The sequence below is a fragment of the Homo sapiens genome, chromosome 1 (assembly GCF_000001405.40).
Source record: "Homo sapiens chromosome 1, GRCh38.p14 Primary Assembly".
Taxonomy (NCBI): domain Eukaryota; kingdom Metazoa; phylum Chordata; class Mammalia; order Primates; family Hominidae; genus Homo; species Homo sapiens.
Window position 1 is genome coordinate 230,225,650 of NC_000001.11, and position 22,387 is coordinate 230,248,036.

The 22,387-nt window shown below is 42.7% G+C and overlaps 1 protein-coding gene across 3 annotated transcripts in view, besides 2 other annotated features; it reads left to right on the forward strand.

The window, feature by feature from the left end:
- Positions 1 to 22,387, forward strand: part of GALNT2 (polypeptide N-acetylgalactosaminyltransferase 2) — a 224,334-nt gene that overhangs the window by 167,861 nt on the left and 34,086 nt on the right. For all 3 annotated transcript variants that reach the window (NM_001291866.2, NM_004481.5, XM_017000964.3), the window contains 5 exons: positions 10,365 to 10,463; positions 10,704 to 10,771; positions 11,011 to 11,076; positions 17,657 to 17,778; positions 20,414 to 20,501. In NM_001291866.2, coding sequence (NP_001278795.1) covers positions 10,365 to 10,463; positions 10,704 to 10,771; positions 11,011 to 11,076; positions 17,657 to 17,778; positions 20,414 to 20,501 — 443 coding nt within the window. The remainder of the gene's footprint in view (positions 1 to 10,364; positions 10,464 to 10,703; positions 10,772 to 11,010; positions 11,077 to 17,656; positions 17,779 to 20,413; positions 20,502 to 22,387) is intronic.
- Positions 398 to 899: an enhancer, noted in NCBI's record as "H3K4me1 hESC enhancer chr1:230361793-230362294 (GRCh37/hg19 assembly coordinates)". NCBI's record gives its function as "activates a minimal SCP1, AML or CMV promoter by ChIP-STARR-seq in primed H9 embryonic stem cells {active_cell/tissue: H9 hESC(primed)}" and the evidence as "EXISTENCE:reporter gene assay evidence [ECO:0000049][PMID:30033119]".
- Positions 900 to 1,399: an enhancer, noted in NCBI's record as "H3K4me1 hESC enhancer chr1:230362295-230362794 (GRCh37/hg19 assembly coordinates)". NCBI's record gives its function as "activates a minimal SCP1, AML or CMV promoter by ChIP-STARR-seq in primed H9 embryonic stem cells {active_cell/tissue: H9 hESC(primed)}" and the evidence as "EXISTENCE:reporter gene assay evidence [ECO:0000049][PMID:30033119]".

Below are 22,387 nucleotides of genomic sequence, written 5' to 3' on the forward strand. Positions count from 1 at the left end.
AAATCAAAATCTGGAGGAGGCAGAGTTTTTTTGTTTTTTTTTTTTTAACCTCTGTGCTATATGGTCCATACCAGAGTTCCAGGTCTAAATTCAAGTTATCCAGATGAGTCTAATTATGGCTCCACATTAGAGAACTGTTTCACTAATAACACCTCTCACTTTTCTGTGTGTTTCTTAAAATGAAGTCTAAGAGCAACCTGTATAAGCCTTGCCTTCAGGGGCCTTTTCGAATTCAGATTCCCAGGTATCACCCAGACCTACTTATTCAGAATGGGATGGGAGAAGCAGTCAGGGCCTAGGCATGTTCATTTTCATAAGCTCCATGAATGAGTCTTATGCTCACTAAACTGTCAGAGCTTTGTGATAATCAGAAGTCTGTGGCCTTAAAGCAACTGCCCTTACCGCAGAAGCAAATCAGAGTCCTGAATGAGGAGCATGCGCCCAGCCTGCGGTTGGCTCTAGCCTGGCTGGAGCCCCACCTTCACAGCAGAGGCATATATGGACATTCTGTGTCCATTCTGTGTCCATGGGCAGCTGCATCAGGCTGCCAGGATGGTCAGTGAAACAACAGACCTTCCTGCCCTTTTCTTTCCCTTGAAATGGGAATGGCGTAAGCATTTTCTGTGGATGAGGGCAAGGAAACAGAAGGCATTCACCGCCTCTATTGCATCACCAGCTGTGTCCAGAGCCTTGATTCCAGCATCCTGAGGTGCTAACACCCTCCCCCTGCCACCGAATATCTGTATATGAATGGAGAAATGGGCTAGCAAGCAACAGACTGTATTTTAATATGTTCCTTTGATTTTTCAAACTTCTGGCCCTGCTGGCTAATTTAACGCCCCCACAGGCTCTCTCGGCTCATCTCACCTGGCTGATGGGTGCACATGGAGACTCGCAGACTTTCAGGTGCTGTGTTGGCTGGAGAAGGAAAGGTCCACGTGGCTGCAGGGCTCCCTGGGCTGCTCCATCTTTCCGAACACATGCGGAGGCAGGTGCCTTGACCTGGCTCAGAGGCAGGGGCCTCGCCACTCTCTCCCAAAGTTAGGGGAGCCAGTCATCGCACCCGCGGACATTTCTCCCCCTCCCCATTTCACTCACCCATCTCATGGTTGAGAAAACTGCCTGTGTTTCTCCAGCTGTAGAATTTGCTTGGATTTTTAACCATTTTTCCTTATGTAGGGTAGCTGAAATCAATCACTCTGTGACTGAAGAAGGTGGAAAAAACTGCAGGGTGTAAACCTAAAGAAAGCAGAAGGAAGGAAATAAGGAAGGTAAAAGAAGAAATTAATGAACTAAAAATCCAGTGGAGAGTATATATAAAGCTTCATCTTTAAAAAATATAAATCTCTAAAAATGCTGATTAACAAAAATAGAGAAGAAACATTAATATTAGGTGTAAAAAAGCAGATATAACTAAGATCATAAGAAAATTAAAAGTATACTTTTATGTAAATAAATTTGAAACTTACATGAAATTGATAATTTTCTAGGGATATTTAAGTTACCAAAGTCTCTTAAGAAATAAAAAAATGAATAAGTGCAAACCATCAAAAGAAATTTTCAGCAATAAAAAATTTGCCTTCCCAAAATTTCACAAAGCTCAAATGGGTTTGCGTAAAACCCAGACTGTTTCAGAGAATAGAAAAGGAGGAAAGCTACCCTATTTCCTTCAGTAGTATCTAGCTATGAAACCAGAAAAAGAAAGTATAAGAACAGCAAATTGTTCAATTTATGGTTATAGACTCAGAAAATCCTAAACCAAATACTAGCAAATCTAATACAGCTATATATATATATGCTATATAATACAGCTATATATATATATGCTATATAATATAGCTATATATGCTATATAATACAGCTATATATGCTATATAATACAGCTATATATATATATGCTATATAATACAGCCATATATATATATATACAAGAAGAGTTTGTTTTAGGAATGTAAAAATGATTGAATATCAGAAAATAATGTAATATATCTTCTCAGTGAATTAAAGGAGAATAGCTGTAGGTCATATTAATGGATGCAGGAGGGAAAGCAGTGAAATTCAGCACTTGTGAGGGAGTTTCCTTCACCTGATGAAAGGCATCTGTAAAACATCTATGGCAAACACAAAGCTTAATGATAAAAATCTGCTTGTGTTCAATTTAAAGATAGGATCAAGGCAAGGTTGTTTTTTACCACTTTTAAAAATTGTATATTGTGTTGCAGGCCATAATCACTGCCATCTTAAGAATTGCAAGATGTGTAACGAATGGAAAGACAGGGACAGAATGTAGATGTATTGATTTGTGGAAAATCTAAGAGAACCTGCAAACTGACTATCAGAACAAATAAGAGAGCACAGTGAGGTGTTGAATACAGAGTCCACATACAAAAACCGGTATCAGTAACGGCCAATTCAAAAATGTAATAGGAAAAGAGACTCCTTTCACTGTAGCAAGCAGAACTGTCAGATATGGAGGAATAAATGCAACCAAAGATGTGCAAGACTTTCATGGAGAAAATTGTAAAACATAACTGAAGGATATTTTAAAATATCCAGTATTGTAGAAATATTAATTTCCTTCAAATTAACTCATAAATTCAGTGCAGTGTCATGCAGGGTTTTTTCATGGAACTTGAAGAGCTGATTCTTAAATTCATCAGGAAAAGCAAATGGTCACAAATATCCACTGGCATCTTGAAGATCTTCGCCTAGTAGGGGCCATGAAGAGTTACTGCTGAGCCACATTCATTAAGGCAGCATGGTACAGGTGCGGGGTTACACACATAGATGACCAGAACAGAAACGGATGTAGACATAAATAAGTGTTTGGCGTGACAGCAGTGGCGTTACTCATCAGTGATGAAATAATGAACTATTAAATCATGCTGGGGACAATGGATTATCTACACAGAAAAAAAAAGAGATTATGGATCTCCTTCATCTATATATGAAGGATAGCATGGAACTTGTCTACATCCATTTCTGTTCTGGTCATCTGTGTGTGTAACCCTGCACCCATACCACGCTGCTTTAATCACTGTGACTCTGCAGTAACGCTTCATGGCTCCTCGGGCATGTTGCCCTACTATGTGTTGTTCTTCAAGACTCCAGTGGATATTTGTGACCATTTGATTTTCCTGATGAATTTAAGAATAAGCTCTTCAAGTTCCATGAAAAAACCCTGCGTGACACTTCACTGAATTTATGGATTAGTTTGAAGAAAACTAATATTTCTATAATACTGGGCACTTTTTAATGTCCTTCACTTATGTTTTGTAATTTTCTCCATGATATACATGGATATACATAATCCTTCAATATTTATGAAGGATATATAACCTGTTATAACCTGTTAAAAGCATTTGTAAAAGTTTAAACATTTGAAATAAAATTCACAATATATTAATGACCTTCGGTTAAGAAAGCTTTTCCTGAACATTGTTACCCCAGGGTCACAGTTTGAAAACTCAAAATTAAAACGTAGGTTTGACAAAAAGCATCATAAACAAAATTAAAGCATCTGCCACAGAGATTTTTGCAATGCTTCTGGCTGACAAAGGATAATGTCCAGAGCATATAAATTCCTACAGCCAAATAGTAGGTAAAACCTAATCAAAAAATGGACAAAGAACATGAATAAACAGTTAACAGCAGAAACCATCCAGTCAGCTCCTAAGCATATAAGATGATATGTGGCCTCTCTAGTAATCAGGTACATGAAAGTTAAAATGATGACTACTTCATACCAATCTGGTTGGCAAAATTTTAAAACATGGTGATACCTAGGGATGGTGAGAATACAGAGCAGGATGATCTCATGCAGGTCCGGGCAGGAGTGACACTAGGTCCAGCCACTTGAGATTAAGTTGGCTATGTCAGGTCAAGTTGAAGAGGTTCATAATGTATGACCAGTAGTCCTACTTGTGGGTAAATAATGCAGAGAAACTTTCTCTGCTGTGTAAAAAGACAGTGTCCACTGCAGCGTTGTTTCTAATGGAGAGAATTGATAATCAGCAGAAAAGGGATGACGTGTGGTGTGTTCCTCCCTACAATGGAAAGCAGTGTAGCAGTGAGGGTGAATGAAACAGAGCTGTGTGTGTCAGAACAGATGCACCTCCCAAAAAGTGAAAACACCAAGTCACAGCACAGTGCCATCCCTGCAAACTTCGAATAGGTGCAGAAAAATGCTTGGTATAATTTATGAATACATACATGGGTAGTTTATTTAAAATACACATAGTAACAATGAAGCACCAAATTCAAGATAGTGATTGCCCCTGGGGAAGATGAGGATTGAGGTAAGGGCTGTAATTATTCCCTGTCATCCTGTCATGTGTCATTTTATTTAAAATTTTTTTAATCAAAGGCCAGTATTGCAAGATATTAAGACTTGGCAAGCAGAGTGGTACATGGATGCTTCTATAATATCTCTAAACTTTATGCGTGAAATATTTCACTCACATAAACACACAGTGATGTCAGTTGCTGCCAAGAGGCCACAGGAGGCTCATTGCCTTGGTAAATTTGTTGCAGTCTAAGACTTGCCCCTCAGCTTTGCAAACCCAGAAACTTTTTTTTTTTCTTAGTTTTTTGCCTGCAGATGAAAACTAGGTTTGTATCTCAGGGGCAGACTCAAACTCAATTTACAAATCGAATGTATCCAGACTGCCAGTATGATAATTTGTAAATACATAGCACAGTAATCAGGACCTTGGAAATACCACGACCTTGCATGATCCTCGTGTTGTTTGTCCTGGAGTTTTTCCACGGGAACCTGAGCCACAGCCCAAATGCCTGCTCATAGACACGCAGTTAGACGTAGCTGCTGTGGAGACCAGCATTTCGGAGCCCCATTGCCAGCAGATTTGCTCCTACACAGGACTCCAGTCCTAATCAGAACACACAACTCCCTTAGAGGGACTCCACTGGAAGTGCCTGCCTCCTTCAGGGAGGAACTGAGCATGCCCCTTAGCACTGGATACCCAGAAAGTGCCTGTGGAGGCTTGGCATTGTTTATAACTTTCCTTTTTTATTTTTGACAGTATCTATTCCCCATCTCTTCCGTGATAGAATCCTGTCTTTGTGTAGGCATAAACTAATGCTTACTTAATAATCAGTTAAGTTGTGTAGTATTTTCCTTACAAAATCCGAATTACAAGGGCAGTTCAGGGAGATGGTGCATATTCATCTAGGAGTTTTTCCTTCCCATGACCCTCTGTTTGGTCTTCGTGGCTATCTCATAAGAAGTGTGGTCTTACTGTTGGCCACATCCCCTCTCTGGGCCTTGTAGAGGTTCTTGAACTCTCCTTCTTAAAGAGAGTTTATTTAAATATGTTTCCTCATCTTCTCCCACCTTTGCATCTCCTGAGCCCTTCTTGCAGGCCTGGGAACCCTTGTCCCTTTAACTGACAGTGTATTCTCTACTTGGAGCCGCTGCTGCATGTGGACTTGGAAGATGTCTCAGAGCCTGTCTCATCGGCTGCCTCTCCAAGTTGCTAGAGAAAGCTCCACTCTGACCTCCCAGTCACCATTGACACACAGCTGCCAAATGCAAATTATAAGCCTGCATTCATTAAAGTGACCTTGACAGTTTTCAGAGTCCTTTTTCACACGTTTTTATTTGGTGTTCCCAATAATCAGGCAAGATCGTCAGGGCCATTTTCACAGATGAGGAGTGATGTTAGTTGTCACACATTACACAGTAACCAAGGTTACCAAGGGCCCTTTGCAAAAACACTAGGTCACCTGGGGTGAGGGTGGGGCATGGCCTGCCCAGGGTAGAGAAGGAAACCTATTTCTTTGTTCCTCCCAACACCGTGAAACAGCCTTCTGTGTTATTGGACAGAAGCTGGAGCTTCCCAGTCCAAAGAGCTTGCGTTTGGTTATTTCATCAATGTCTTGATCAAGCCCAGGTATAACGTCTGCCCTAAAGACAGAGTCATTCTTCTACCCTGAGAGACTCTCTATACAATGTGGTGGTTTAGATTCACCAGTTTTTTCCATTTCCAGCTAACCAAGAGTTCAGGTACTGAAAGCCATCTAATCTCAGAGAAATTTAAAGCTAAATAAAGGATTCTTAAAACAGATCTTTACATGTCCAGTTTTTAAAGCCTCCATTTTACCGAACAGGAAGTTTGCAGAATGATCACATTAGCACCAGAGCCTTGGACACTCAAGTGAACTTGAGCCCACAAAGTCAGCCCGAAACCCCGCCCACTCTTCTCAGAGTCACTGCTTCTAGCCTGCGTCGTCTGGTAGAACAAACCTTACTGCACACTGTTCCTGCCGCTGACTTCAAATAAACTGCAGTTTCTACTCGATTCCCAAAGAAAGCTCAAGTATGAAAGTGCCCCTGGCAGCCAGCTCCCCTGTTGAGTTACTATATTGGGTGTTCTTTCACTAGTTCTGGAGTAGTGAAGACTGGTTGGCAGGGATATGGCTCTTTAAATACAAAATTTATTCTTTTTCTTTTTAAAGACATGTTTCAAGCCGACCCCACCTTCTTGGCTCAATGTGAGGACTTATTATCTAAATTCATGTACATACACACACTCACTCTAACTCTGGGATGTAAAATATTTCTTAGTTTTTACTTTTTATCTCTCTTTGCCTTAAAAAATGGGATCCCTCTTAAGTTTCCTGAATGCCAGTTCTCAGCAAAAATGGATGCCTTATGAATATGTAGATGAATTTTAATAAAATGATACGAATGCAGCAGCTCTGCGTGTTCTGAAAAACGTTTCCAGAGCCCCGTGAGACTTTCAAATGCTCCTGGGAGATGAGGCTTCCTGCAGAGAAAAGGAAACCGAGAGAATAGGACATGATTGGATCGGTTCCGTTTACTATGATGTAGCATGAAAAAATGCTGCCTTATGTCTCTTTTTAAATTCTCCTATAGCTGCATAAGCTCATGTTCAGTAAGTCATTCAACCTAGGTCTGCTCGTCTCAGCAATTCCCGCTGTGTTAAGTGGGACCTAATTGCAGAGGATAGCTGCCTCCTAACGCGGAGTCCTTATTTCATTAGCATTACAGATTGGGTTCTTGGGAAGGACATTCTTTGGTAATTTGTTTACAGATGAAGTCTTGCAGATTCTCACTTCCTTAATCTAACAATCTGCTAATTCTTAAAATTGGAAAAAAGAAAGAAAAACCAGCCTGTCAGTCTACTTGTCAGGAAAGACTTAGATGTCAGGAGCTCTAATGAGGTGCGATATTAATTCCTGCCTGCTTTTTTCCCCCAGACAACCGTGAACAGTTTCCCCCCAAAAACTAGTATATTATGCAATTTCTCATGATTAATTAAAACAATAACTATAATAAAAGAAGCCCATTTTGTGATTCTGACCTAATTGCTTTTTAATTGCACTGCTTTTCATGTTTATTTTCAAAATTCACTTCTCTGAAGTAGTCACGAGGGAAAACGAGTGTCTGTTGAGCACTTTCTCTGAAGGTGCGGCCATTGCTGTGAAATTGCTGGTCATTGTTTGGCAGCTGCTAGACCATCCACTTTAGTTCTTAACTCCTTAAATGTTTTTAGCGATGGCTGAGTTCCAAATATATATATTTTTAATCTATCTCCTTCGTCCACTGATTTCCCATCTGAGATATTATCTCTAATTTTGGGGGCAGATAATTCATGGCTCTGGCAAACAATATTAAGAGCTACAGTGGGCTTATATTAGGGCCAGGCACAGTGGCTCACGCCTGTAATCCCAACACTTTGGGAGGCCAAGGCAGGCAGATCACGAGGTCAGGAGTTCGAGACCAGCCTGGCCAACATGGTGAAACCACGTCTCTACTAAAAATACAAAAATTAGCCAGGCATGGTGATGGGCACCTGTAGTCCCAGCTACTCGGGAGGCTGAGGCAGGAGAATCGCTTGAACCCGGGAGGCGGAGGTTGCAATGATCCGAGATTGTGCCTCTGCACTCCAGCCTGGGTGACAAGAGCAAGACTCCGTCTCAAAAGAAAAAAAAACCTACAGAATAATTTTTTTTTAATGTATTGGTCCCCTGGAAGGCATAAGAGTGAAGGGAATGTTTCCCTCCCCATCTGAAGGTTTGAATCTTTATGTCAGCTGAAATAAACTGACAATAGATTAATAAATTTGTTATTAATGTGCAAATGTGCACAGGAGCCACACAAAATATGAGACTCAAAGAAGGGCCAGATGGTTGAAGCTTAAATACTCTCTGCATAGGGGAGAGGCAAGTGAGGGATGTAGGCAATTTTAGAAGAGTAAATGATGTTTAGGGGAGATGATTAGGATGGAAATGCAGACAATAGCCGGGAACAAATTTCCTCCACAGGGTCTCGGGGAGGTGGCAACAAGTTATGGGAAGGCGAGGGGCAGAACTCTATTGTGAACAGAGGTTATTTTATCATGCAGATAAATCTCTCAGGTGACAGCCTTTAGAAGAATAATTGAAAGAATACGTGAAAAGGCTCTCCAAGAGTGGGGTCTTGGTGTGGGCTTTTAGTTTCTTCTGCTATATGAGTTAATCTCTGGTTAATGTAGATTCCAGAGAGGGGGTCCAAGACAATTGCACATCTTCTGGATGAACTTCCCTCAGTCAGATAAGAGAACTTGAGACAAAGTCCCTCCCTGTGCTTCTGAAGGGAAGTTGGAGGGGGTGGGGAGGAGAAGGTCAGAGAGAGACCTTGGTTCTGAGGCTTATTTCTGAGGTCTGTGAATCTCCTTCTTTCAAAGCACTCAGCATGCCAAAGCAATATAATTTGGGGTATCATTTTCGGAGCCCCAGCAAAGATTTTCTGCTGCTTCAATTCCGGTGCCAGTGTGTTTAACTGCTAGAGTTGCAGGAACATTGTGCAGATAATAAATGCCAGCATGGAGGAAACCTTGGCATGGGACAGACAAACAGGCCCCTCTTGCCGCCTCACAGGCAAGACTGTTCATCCTCAAGACCACGGGGCATCAACATCACCATTTAAGAACCATTTTTCTGAAACCAAAGCCTCTTTTCCAAGCTGGTATCAGTAGTATTACCAATTTAGTAACTCTGAATGGAGTCAAACCAGAAATTAAGTGTTTCTAGAAGTCCTCGTGGGCTGTCAGTCCTGCCCAGGTGTGTTGTTCTCTCAGGATTCTCTGGGAACATTGCTCTGTACTAGGATGCTCTTAGGTCTGTAGACCCTGCTTTGAAGGGTTCCTCCTGATGGGTTCTGCTGAGCCCGGTAAACCTTTACTGCTTATTTCTAGTATATGATACTTTAGCATCTTCCACCTATAGCTATCAGCTATTTTTTAAAACAGCTATTCTGACTGAGCACAGTGGCTCATGCCGGTAATCCTAGCACTTCAGAAAGCTGAGGTGGGAGGATTGCTTGAAGCCAGGATTTCGAGACCAGCCTGAGCAACAGAGTGAGACCCCCATCTCTACAAAAAATAAAAAAAAATAGCTGGATGTGGTGGCACACCTGTAATCCCAGCTACTTGGGAGGCTGAGGTAGGAGCATCACTTGAGCCCAGGAGTTCAAGGCTGCAGGGAGCTATGAACATGCCACTGCACTCTAGGATGGGTGACAGAGTTGGACCCTGTCTCAAAAAAAAAAAAAAAAAAAAAAAAGCTACTTACTGTTCTTCTAGTCTTGTGTCTGTCTGTAGAGCCCAAATTTGAGAGGTGCCATGTTGAAATCTGCACCTGCTTTGTAGGTCTGGCCTCTGAATCAGCTTCTGTGCAGAGGTGATCCCAGGGTTCTTCCCTACTGCTGGAAGAGGAGAGCTCAGGCAGGCTCAGGGTCCCATTGACTGTACCCTCACTCCATCTCCCCATCTTCATCTCACCACTGCCCTTTGGGGTATTTGGGGATGGCCTTCCAGGGCAAGGGACATGCATCCCTGCTGTCCCAGGAAGGGAAAACCTCCAGTGGGTCTGCTGTTCGTGGTGAGAACCAAGTTCCAAATATCACCGGAGTACCACATGCTTGTTGTAGGCAATGTAGAAAACAAGAAAAGAGCAGTGGCGCACAGTTGGTTCTGCCCTTCGGAAATTACGACTGCAAATTGTGAAAAGCGCATCTCTAGAGGTGTATCTGCTTGAGAGTAGAAATGGGATTTCACTGTTTTAAAACACTTTTTTTTAACGTGTTAGAAAGATGTTCTCAATATGTTACTTTTTGCCGAAATCGTTCATCTCTCAGAACGTAACTCCGGTTGTGTTTTTCTGTTTCCTTATGTCCCGTTGGCAGTTCATCTCAGAACAGGCCAGGAACTTCTGCAGATAACAAGTTAATCATAGCATGTCCATCCCAGTTGGTCAGTCTGCCTGTTCTCTGAAGGGCTAAACAAGCTGTGGCTGCTCTGGGGGTCATTGTTCAGAGGACCATCTTTCTCTTCCTGCAGGTGTCAGCGGAAGCAGTGGCGGGTGGATCTGCCGGCCACCAGCGTGGTGATCACGTTTCACAATGAAGCCAGGTCGGCCCTACTCAGGACCGTGGTCAGGTGAGGCCAGGAGATGCATTACCTGTCAGGGGTGTTAAGACATTAGCTGTGTCCCAGGCACAGTCAGACCAGGGCTGTCAGTGGGGGCTGCAGACAGGGTCTCCTGACTGCTCAGCACAGGGTGCAGTGTGTAGCTCCTCCAACCAAGGGTTAGGACCAACATATGAGAATTTTCTACCCCAGGCTAAAAGTTTATACCCCTAAAAGACCTATAAACTTTATCTTCTTGTCTTTTCTTAGCGTGCTTAAGAAAAGCCCGCCCCATCTCATAAAAGAAATCATCTTGGTGGATGACTACAGCAATGATCGTGAGTACTGACACTGATTTTATCCCTGTGTCTGGCTCTTCTCTGGGCACCAGTCTTCCTGTAGTGGGGGTGCTAATGAGGCGTGAACAAGCCAGAAATCAGATCCACAGAAAGAAGAGGTGCCTCTGTGATGCCCCAAGGAGATAATCGGCCCTTAGATGATTGAGAATACTATGGTTGAATGCAAAGCCCTTTATGAACTCCAGGTTCAAAATGCTCTGCTTCTTTTCTTTTCCTAGCTGAGGACGGGGCTCTCTTGGGGAAAATTGAGAAAGTGCGAGTTCTTAGAAATGATCGACGAGAAGGTAAGATTCTTCTTAATTCAGCGCCAAGACAGTTGAATTCTGACTTTTCCTGTAATAACATAAAGAAGTGCTTTAGCTCAAAGAGCAATTAATTGTCTAGCTTTTTTCTGTCTCCCTCTACCAGAGCCGCTTGGGAGACTTCTCCCAGCAAACACAGGAAAGACATTAAAAGCTTGACTAATTGAAATTATTAGTATATTAGAGCAGGATCAAATTACATTTTCATTTATGTATTTAGAAAATTGGCTTCTTTCTTTCACAACCTAGGAAGTCTTATCAGTCCCTTGAATACAAAAGTTTAGAAGAAAAACAAAGATTTAGCAATAAGAAGTTGAATGACTCCATGCTCCAGGCATCTGATAAAATAACCGGGATTCAAGTTTGACAGCCTGCTGAAGGTGAACCATCCAAAATGGGGAGACAGTACTGCAATTATATGCTCATGCGATTTTGCAAATGCCAACCTCGGAACCTTCTGTCAGTCTTATCTGTGCTGGAGCTGAGCTCATGAGGACTCTTTTATTGGCAGTTAGAAGAGAGGCTGTAAAGGAGGAAAGTAGTACACTGGAGTGTCTGGGAAGGAAGCTCCAATCACAATGTAATTAACATCCAGTGTGTCAGTGCTGTTAGAGACCCTGAAGACTGAATTGTTAGGCTCCTCCATGGTTGGGAGAAATCTTTCAGTATAGGAAAATCACAGAGCTTTGGAACCCATGCCACATTTGCTATTTAAGTCTGACTGTTGATCCAGGGGTGGTGATTGTATTCCTTCATCAGTGTAAAACTCTTTCTTCTCATTACATATGCACTCCAGCTGGAGTCAAGGAGTGAAGTTTTTCTTACCAGGAATCTTATTGGCCAACACAGTGATTGAGCCTGTTAGAACAGCATCATATTTTAACCAACTAGGGTCATCAACCTAGACATTCAAGATACATAAACAGTGGGATAAGCCTTGCCTTCTAAACAAGCTGTTTGCCAGACTCACATCAGTCCACCAAGCCTGGAATAAACCAAAAAGGGGGCAATTTGCTGCCCCCTAAACACCTTCAAAATAACTTTATGAATTTAAACCCAAAGTATCTGCCATCCTACCCCATCACCTGGCACAGGCTTTAAAAAAAAAAAAAAAGAGAAGTGGGGAAGGAGGAAAGAGAGATAGTGTTGGCACTGTAAATCACTTATGAGCCTTATCTAACAGTGTCTTTGTCTTTAAACTGCTTAGAAATCAGAACAATGCTTCTCAGTATTAACTTTCCGCTAGAATGTTCATTTCGGTTGAACCCGTGCTGATACGTTGTTTCGGGGAAGGCATGAGAAGGGTGGGTTGGGAGAAGCCAGATTATGGAAAGCCTATATGGAACAGCTGAAGTCTGTAACAATTGAATGAGAAAATATGTGCACACTTGCACACACACTCATGTATATATGTACCCATGTGTGTGTATAAGATCCCATCTATGTAAGCATACACACAAAGTGCTTGTAGTGATGCTACTAGATGACAAAGTAAATTAATTGCCTAAAATATTATGGTAGTGAAAGCAGTCTTAGGATCATTCTTCTGTGGATTTTATTGTGCATTGATTCTTAACCTAGCAATTTATTAGAAGCACCTAGGGAATTTAGGACCATGTCTTGCCCTCATTCACAATTAAATAGAAATTTCTGGATTTCTCTGGGTGGGGTGTGGGCAGCTGCATTTTTAAAAGCTGCTAAAATGATGCCGATGTACAGTGGAAGTTGAGAGCCTAGTACTTTCATTTTACAGATGGAAATACTAAATCTAAAGAGGCTAGGTGGCTTTCTCAAGGCCCTTACAGCTATTTAATGACAATAGTAGGACCAAAACCATGTTAATAATGAGATAAATCTTTTTCTCTGCATTTGTGGAGATAGTCAAGTGGTATTTCTTTTTTTAATCTGTTAATATGGTGAAATACATTGGTTGATTTTCAGATGTTAAACCAGCTTTGCATTCCTAGCATAAGCCCCAGTTGGTCATGATACAGTATCCTTTTAATATATTTTTGTTAAGGATTTTTATACCTGTGTTCATGGGAAACATTGGTCTGTAATTTTCTTAAAATGTATTTTTCCAGTTTTGGCATTATGGTTTACTAGCCTTATAAAACAAGATGGAAAGTGTGCCCTTCTATTTTATTTTCTAAAAGAGTTTGTATAATATTTTAATTATTTCTTTTTTAAATGTTTAATAGAATTAGCCAGTCTGGACCAAGAATTTTCTTTATGGAAAGATTTTTGATAACTAATTCAATCTCTTTAATGGATATAGGCGTATTCAGATCTGCTGTTTCTTTTTGTGTCTGTTTCAAGAAATTTTGTATTTTATCAACGTTTTTATATTTATTGGCTCAAAGTTGCTTATGATATTGTCTCTTTTTTTACTGTTTGTCGGATTAGTATTACTATTTTATTGATTTTGGTAATTTATATCTTCTTATTTTCTTTATCTGTCTGCTGTTCATCGACGCTGTTCATTTTTTAAAAGAACCAATATTTGGCTTTTGTATTAGGATTCTCCAAAAGGACAGAACTAATAGGATAGATGTATATATAAACAGGAGTTTATTAAGGAATATTGACTCACACAATCACAAGGTGAAGCCCCACAATAGGCCATCTGCAGCCGAGGAGCAGGGAAGCCAGTCCAAGTCCCAAAACCTCAAAAGTGGGGAAGCTGACAGTTCAGCCTTCAGTCAGTGGTTGAATGTCCAATAGTCCCAAAGCTGAAGAACTTGGAGTCCAATGTTCAAGGGCAGGAAGCATCCAGCGTGGAAGAAAGATGTAGGCCGGGGGAGACCAAGCCAGTCCAGTCTCTCTACATCCTTCTGTCTGCTTTTATTCTGGCCGTGCTGGCAGCTGATTAGATTGTGCCCACCCAGATTGAGGGTAGTTCATTTACATGTGGCGTAATCATTGGTGTGACTAGGTTTGGGTCTGCTCTTCGGCTGTTTCTTCTCTATTTGTACCATGTGCATTTTGCTTTTTGTAACTGTGTTCCTGCTTTCTTGCCTTCTTTTGGATTCAGTGATTTTTTTAGTATTCCATTTGAATTATTCTTGTAGCTTTTCAGCAATACTTTTCATGTATGCACAGTTGCCCTGAGAATTACAACATACAGCTCTAACTTACAACAGTCTGCTTAAGAGTCAACATCATACCACTTTAAATTTAAGAATTTTACAATAGTTAAATTGCATTTCCATTTCCCTTCCTATGTACTATCGTTATCATGCTTTTCTTCTACATACATCTTAAACCCCACAATACACTGTTACATTTTTACTTCAAATAGTCAGTATCTATTAAATAAAGAGAAGAATATGTGGATATGTTAAGCTTATCCTCATATTTTCCATTTGTAGTATCTTTGTTTCTTTCCATAGATTGGAGTTTTTATTTAGCCCGAATAATTTTCTTTAGAATTTTTTCTCATAGGCAGCACAATCTCAGGTTTTATCTGAAGAATTTTTTTCTCCTTTGTTATTGGAGGCTATTTTCTTTCAGTGGAATCTGAGTTGACAATTAATTTTTCTTTCAGCACTTTAAAGGTTTCACTCCAGGCAGGGCACAGTGGCTCACGCCTGTAATCCCAGCACTTTGGGAGGCCGAGGTGGGCGGATCACGAGGTCAGGAGTTTGAGACCAGCCTGGCCAACATGGTGAAACCCCGTCTTTACTAAAAATACGAAAATTAGCCGGGCATGGTGGCATGCGCCTGTAGTCCCAGCTACTCGGGAGACTGAGGCAGAAGACTCGCTTGAACATGGGAGGCGGAGGTTGCAGTGAGCCAATATTGTGCCACTGCACTCCAGCTTGAGTGACAGGGTGAGACTCTGTCTCAGAAAATTCATACTGTTGTTCCTTTGTATGTTATGGGTCATTTCCTCTGGCTGCTTTTTGTCTCTATATCTGTTTTTTTTTTTTAACAATTTGATTATGATGTGCCTAGATTTAGTTTTCTTTATATTTATCCTGCTTCAAGTTTGCTGATGTAAATTGAATATGTAAGATGATGTTTTCCACCAAGTTTGGGAAATGACTGGCCTTTTATTTCTTCATGTATTTTTTTCTGACTCATTCTTGAACTTCAGTTGCACATATGTTATACCACTTGTTATTGTCCTATAGATGACTAGACTTTTCCCCCTTAATTTTTTCTCTGTCCACCAGATGGATCTATTTCTGTTGTTCCATCTTCAAGTTCACTAGTCATTCTGCCATCTCCATTTTGCTACTAAGACCAGTCAGTGGATTTTTCATTTCAGATAATTTCATTTTTAAGTTCTGGAATACCCATTTGATTCTTTTTTATAGTTTTTATTTCTCTGCTCAGATTCCCCACCCATTCACTCATTAAAATTGTTGCCTTTGAGTTATTAAACATATTTATAATAGCTGCTTTTAAATCCTCCCCTGCTAATTCCAACCTCTGGGTCATCTCAGGGTGAACTTCTGATGACTTTTTTTCTCTTTGATGTGGTCTCCATTTTCCTGTTTCTTCTCATGTGTAGTGGTTTTTTATTTTATAATTGACATTGTGGATGATATGTTGTAGAAACACTGGATTATGTTATCTTTCTCTAAAGAGTATTCATCTTTGTTATATTGGGCAGTTAAATTACCAGATGATGATGCTGAACTTCTGTAGGCTCTTTTTGTACTTTGCTAGGATGAGTATGGTTTTTTTTTTTCGTTTGTTTGTTTGTTTGTTTGTGACAGCGTTTCTCTCTTGTTGCTCAGGCTGGAGTGCAGTGGTGTGATCTCAGCCCACTGCAACCTCTGCCTCCTGGGTTCAAGCAATTCTCCTACCTCAGCCTGCCGAGTAGCTGGGATTACAGGCGCACGCCACCACGCCTGGCTAATTTTTTGTATTTTTAATAGAAACGGGTTTCACCATGTTAGCTAGGCTGGTCTTGAACTCCTGACCTCAGGTGATCTGCCCACCTCAGCCTCCCAAAGTGCTGGGATTACAGGCGTGAGCCACCACGCCCGGCCATGAGTTTGTTTTTATGAGTCCCTTATTCTTGATACATAGTCTATATTCCTATGTGTGGTCTTTCTGAAGTTCCTGTAGAAGAACTGAGATCTTTACCAAGCATGTCACACTTGGCAGAACTCAAATTCCAAACTTTGTTTTCTCTGCAGTAGATAGCAGCTGAAACTCAGTTTTTTCTGCCTTCTTAACTGTTGCTTTTCATGTTGGACTTGGTTCCTGTGTGGTTCAGAAGTCAGCCAAAGATTTAACAGGAGGTTATTGCCAGATTTGGGTCCTACCTCCTTTCCAGGATCTCCTTCAGTTTCCAGATACCAGAAGCTCTGAACTCTCTATCCTCTAACAACTCAAGCCAAAAAAGGCTACATTGCAGTGGATTGGAGCGCATCCTCGTGGAAAACGCCGTATAAACACGGAGCTTACTCAGTGTTATTTTCTTATTTTAAGGGGTTGGATCCTATCTAGTTTCTGTCTGCTTCTGGCTTTCAAATTGCTGCTTTTTATATTTTGCTCAGAGTTTATAATTGTTACTGGAGCAAAGGTTTGCCCCATACAAGTTGTTTTGCAATTATCACAACTTAAAATCTTTAGTCTTTTTCCCTGTTCTAGCATACAGCCACATAGGAATCACTGAAAACCCATTTTGACTGTGGAAAAAAGTACTTAGCAGACTTGTCCTCACCGGTTATGAATAGTTGCATCATCTTCACATAGAAAGCCCAGCATATATAGCAAAAGCCATTTATGACCACAACATCCAGGGATAAATATACTATTATTTATTTTATTTTATTTTTTATTTATTTTGAGACAGGGACTCACTCTTATCACCCAGGCTGGAGTGCAGTGGCGCAATCATGGCTCACTTCCCAGGCTCCAGTGATCCTCCCACCTCAGCCTCCCGAGCAGCTAGAACCACAGGCGCACGCACAGGCCACCACCCACGGCTGATTTTTGAAATACACTATTTGTATTTTGTGTCATAATGAACGTGCACATTATTAACACATCACAAGTATATAAATTGTAGAATTTGACCAATAGTATAACTAATTTTGTGTAAAAGGCAGACAGCAGGGCTTTGCAACTTATGTTATTTAGCTCCTGATAAGTCTTAGAAGACAGAGATAGTCACAACACTGTTGCAAATATTATCACCACTAAAATCAACACCATTAGCACTGGAAGTCTCTGGGTGACACCTTCCTTAGCCCAGTTAGTTAGAAAACTGCTGCTGTGTCAGAGGAATGTAGTTATAAAAGTTCCACATTTTGGTTAGTTGATAAAGGAGACTTCAGTAATGTAAAGGGCCTTTCTCAGAAGACGGTAGTTCTAAGAACGTTGTCCTCCCAGTCATCCAATATAACTATTAAAATTAAAAGTTCTGACAATAGTCTGTCTCATGGAGCAGTTTTGATCTCATCCAGCAAGTTTACAGTAATGTCCGTGCCCAGAAAGCAGGCTGCAGAGCTGCGGGCAGGGAGGCGTCGCCGGTTGGCATGGGGTTGTGCTGGCCCTGTGGCTTCTCTCTCCTGACGTGCTTTCCAACTCGCCTCTGCAGGCCTCATGCGCTCACGGGTTCGGGGGGCCGATGCTGCCCAAGCCAAGGTCCTGACCTTCCTGGACAGTCACTGCGAGTGTAATGAGCACTGGCTGGAGCCCCTCCTGGAAAGGGTGGCGGAGGTGAGATGACGGGGGCTGGGAGGGGTGTCAGGTCGTGGGTGGTTGGTAGAGGGGACAGAAGGGAGCATGGTCCAGGGGAGGTGTAACGCAGGGAGTAGGGCGTCAGGGCTGGTAGGGGCTGAGCTCGCCGTCTGCAGTTTTCCTTGATAGAAGGAAAATGCCTTTGGGGCATTGTAGAAAGACTGTTTTACTGGCTGTAGGAATCCATCAGTAGGAGGAACCATCCGTTGACAGGTAGGAGGCGAGGATCAGCAGAGGCTGGTGAGAGCCTGATTAGTTGAAGGCAGCCCTTTTCATGGGAGCAGTTTCCTTCCCCGCCTACAGCTTCGCAGAGTGCTTAGAACATTGCCCGGCACCTAGCAAGTGCCATCTCTTGCAGCTCGCAGAGCGGGGCGTGCTGGGGAAGCTGTCCCTGGGGCCACCTCTCTGCTCTTAGTGAGTAGGGCAGGTTAGCCCAGCAGGCTTCCAGGCTCCTGTGGGAGAGGGTTGTGGCTAGGAAGCATACAGGGACCGGTGGGGTTGTCAGAGGGTGATCCGCGGCTCCACTTCTGCACCTTCTGCTTTCTAGAAACATCATTGCTAATATTACATTTGGCCTTTTTTCACTTCTCTCGCCTTCTGCTTGTTTTATTGACTTTTCTTTCCTTCCTACTAAGAAAGCACTTCCTTGGGGGCGATAAAGCAAACTTAATGAAAGGAAATAGAAAATGAACAAGTAGTTCTGCCTAAGCATAGCAAGGATAGCTGATGGGCTGTGAGTCATGGAATACTAAGTAACCACAAGCTACTAGGAATTATGAAGATCATATTCATTACCCTTTATCAAGTTGGGGCTAGGCCTTTTTTATATGTTACCTGTAATGCACTTGTTATCTCCGTTTGACAGGTAAACAGGCTGGGGTTCAGGGAACTTTAATAATGCACGCAAAATCATACAGGTAGCAGAGCCAGGCTTGCAAAGCCAGTTTCATTAAATCCCTATCTGAGCCCCTCTCTTAACACATGTGCATACAGCTATATCCAAGAAGAACCCACCCTGGAATCCCCACCCACCCCAACCCCACAACTTCTTGCTCTCCCTGGCTACGCTCCGCCAGGCTGTCTCTCAGGGAAGCGCAGTCAAAACCAAAACTGCCATGGCAGTGTTTGGGTGTGCGAAGGTCACCGAGCTCAGTGGTCAGATTGTCAGAACTGCTTCGAACGCCTGCTCCTAAATTAAGGAGAGAAAGTGCCAAGCCTATTAACTTTCACTAAATTGAGCCTTATGAAACAAAATGTAAAGTAGATTATATCCTTTAACTCATACACCTAGAACCAGACTGAGCCAGGCAAGGAAAGTTGTGTTCTTCTCTGCCCTCAATGCACCACACAGCCTACTTTTCCCTGTAGATTTGCACCTGGGTGTTACAGAGCTTTGCAGTGTTTGCGTGTTCCTAATTAGCATGTTCCTTCACCTGTTCCTCTGATGTAGTATGTTCTTAGCTCTGCTGGTTCTGTTACTAAGTTGTATTTCTAAATCTTTCTTCTGGCTAATAAGGGTTCTCTAAGTGGCTCAGGGAAAACACTTGCTCTTTGGTTAACTGTCAGCATGGGGCACAGTCCAGGGTCTCTCACCAGCATCCGTCATTTGAGCTTAAAGAGGTTAGAGATGTTAAAAGGCCTTATGTTCACAAACTCTTACCAGAATGATGGCAATGTGGCATAAAGACATGGCTCAATCTAGGGGGATTTTTTTTTTTTAATAGAATCACAGGGGCTGGACGCAGTGGCTCACGCCTGTAATCCCAGCACTTTGGGAGGCCGAGGCAGGCAGATCACCTGAGGTCAGAAGTTCAAGAATAGCCTGACCAACATGGAGAAATCCCATCTCTACTAAAAATACAAAAATTAGCTGGGCGTGGTGGTGCATATCTGTAATCCCAGCTGCTTGGGAGGCTGAGGCAGTAGAATCACTTGAACCCGCGAGGCGGCGGTTGTGGTGAGCCAAGATCACGCCATTGCACTCCAGCCTGGGCAACAAGAGTGAAACTCCGTCTCAAAAAAAAAACAAAACAAAAAAACAAAAAAGATAGAATTACAGATGAGGCAAACGTAGAATCTGGAAATCTCTGGTTGATTTGGTTAACCTTCTGCTGTGATAATATTGATACTTACCACATCTCTCTCACACACACACACTCCCACATAGAAATATATTCCTAATTTTGATGTATGAGCATTTTAGCAGTGACTCCATTCCTGAAGTTTACTGCAGCTCACAAATCACTAATGGTATTTGGGCAAACAGAAAAGGACCCTTGGGACACAGCAACACAGTTTTTGCCTTTAGCTGGGTGAACTGATGGCTACCTGTCCCATAACCATGGGTGTCTCCACTCCTAGAGTGACTCCTGCTACGCACCCACTCCTGACCTCCCTCCCTGCCTCCCAGCAGGCCACAGCACATCTGTGGATGGCCAAGAGCAAGACCTTCTGGGTCTGGGTGGGGAGGCTGGGTTCTTGAGGGCCTAGGGTAGTAGGTAGTAAGGGCCAGTTGGGTTTGCCCTGTGCCTGCCTAATACTAATGCCTTCTGTGGTTGGGCAGGTTTTTTGTTTTGCTGGGATTTTGATAACTACTCCTCTCTTTGTATTTTAGGACAGGACTCGGGTTGTGTCACCCATCATCGATGTCATTAATATGGACAACTTTCAGTATGTGGGGGCATCTGCTGACTTGAAGGGCGGTAGGTGTCTGTCATGGTGCCCCTGCCTAGCTCGTCCCGTCTACACCAGCATCTGATCACCACTCCCTCTCATTGTCAGGAGTGACAGTGACAACAGTGTTCACGCCGTAGTGTGTGTTCTGAGTAAAAACCACCTGTGTGCTTAACGAGTAGGACTTCATAAAGAGAAAAAAAAATAGGCTTGCTCCCTTAAAGAGCTTCCTGGGTTTCCCTTTCTCCTCTTCCTTGACCTTCTGTCACTTTTGCGAGCCATGTGGTTCCATGAACAGATATGGCGTCCTTTATGACCAGAGATGATGAAGCCCTCCTTGCAGGAATCTGGGGTGAGAAGCTTCACGGAGCTGAGGCTTTGTGGGATTCAAGGGGCTGGAGCCTGTCTTTGCCTTCTCTGCTCACCCTGGCTATTTCTCTGACAGCCTGGTCTCTTTCTGGTTGCTCAGATGGAGACCTGTGTCATCCTCAACCCCCTCGCCCTCACCAAGCCCACGTGTGACCCTGTTCTGCTGATACAGCCCCTTGCATGTATCATGGTTTCTTGTACCCCTCTTTCCCAGCCCAACACCTGTGCCTACATCACCCTGGTCCCCTTCCGTTGGAATGACCACACCAGTTTCCTGTATGTCCTCACCGCACCCACCCTGGAGCCCCAAGAGCACTTTGTCTGTTTACCCTCTTAAAAATTATCAAAGACCTCAAAGAGCTTTCATCTGTGTGAAGATGAACTATTCTAGATAGACACTGGGCAGAGGGTTAACTGATGGTCTAACATCAAAAAAGAAGACAGTAAAACTATAAAATAGGGCCTTGACCAGGTGCAGTGGCTCACGCTTATAATCCCAGCACTTTGGGGAGGCTAAGGTGGGAGGATTGCTTGAGCCCAGGAGTTCAAGACCAGCCTGGGCAACATAACAAGACTCTTGTCTCTATTAAAAAAAAAAAAAAAAATTAGCTGCGTGTGATGGCATGCCAGCTACTCGGGGCTAAGGTGGGAGGATCACTTGAGCCTGGGAGGTCAAGGCTGCAGTGAGCCACGATCAACCCTGGGAGACAGAGTGAGACCCTGCTTATTCATACACACACACATATGTGTGCAAGCAAGCCTTAACCCCAGAAAACAGAATACTTGGACTTTTTAGGGAGACTCAGCCACGGTCCTAGACATTGTGGGCTTTGGCCCCACCTGCCTCTTGCAGGCCCCGTCATCATGGGCAGGCCATTTTGCCTCTGCTTCTCAGCTTCCCCCTCTGGGAAATGGGATGATAATTGTGCTGGCCACACAGGGCATAATGGAATTAGACATCAGCGGGAGGGCGGGCATGCTTGGAGGACTGTACCTAGGGTGGGAAACATAACATTCAGGAACGATTCCCAGCAAATGGTGAGAAGTAAAATGTTTGGGGACATTAAAGAGGAGGGATCCTTAGATAGCTAGAAAGCCTGGCTTTCAGAATGTTGTATTTCCCCAAGTATTCGAAGAGCTGAGATCTACCAGGCTCTATTTCTCCCAAAGCAGCTGCGTATGTCAGAGCAGGGGCAAGAACAGCCAGGTGTTCCGTGTGGGGGTGCAGGTCTTCTGGGTCAGAGGAACGGGGCCACGTTCACCCTAAGAGCATTTTATGAAATTCCTTTAGAAAAAAAATCAAGGATGCCATTCTTAACAGATCTTTAATCTGCTATAGCCTCTCTCTTTGGACCAAATTAATAAAATAAATAATAAGATAATAGTAAACATCAAAAAAACAAAGGAAAGGTTATGTCAGCTAATCCTTAACCTTCTCTGTTAGTGAAACAGCCAGGACATTGTTTTTCTGGTTTTCCTTCGTGGCCTTTGAGGCACCATGATAAGAGCCAGCTCAGGGGCCCGCAGGGGTCTCCTCTCTGTGCAT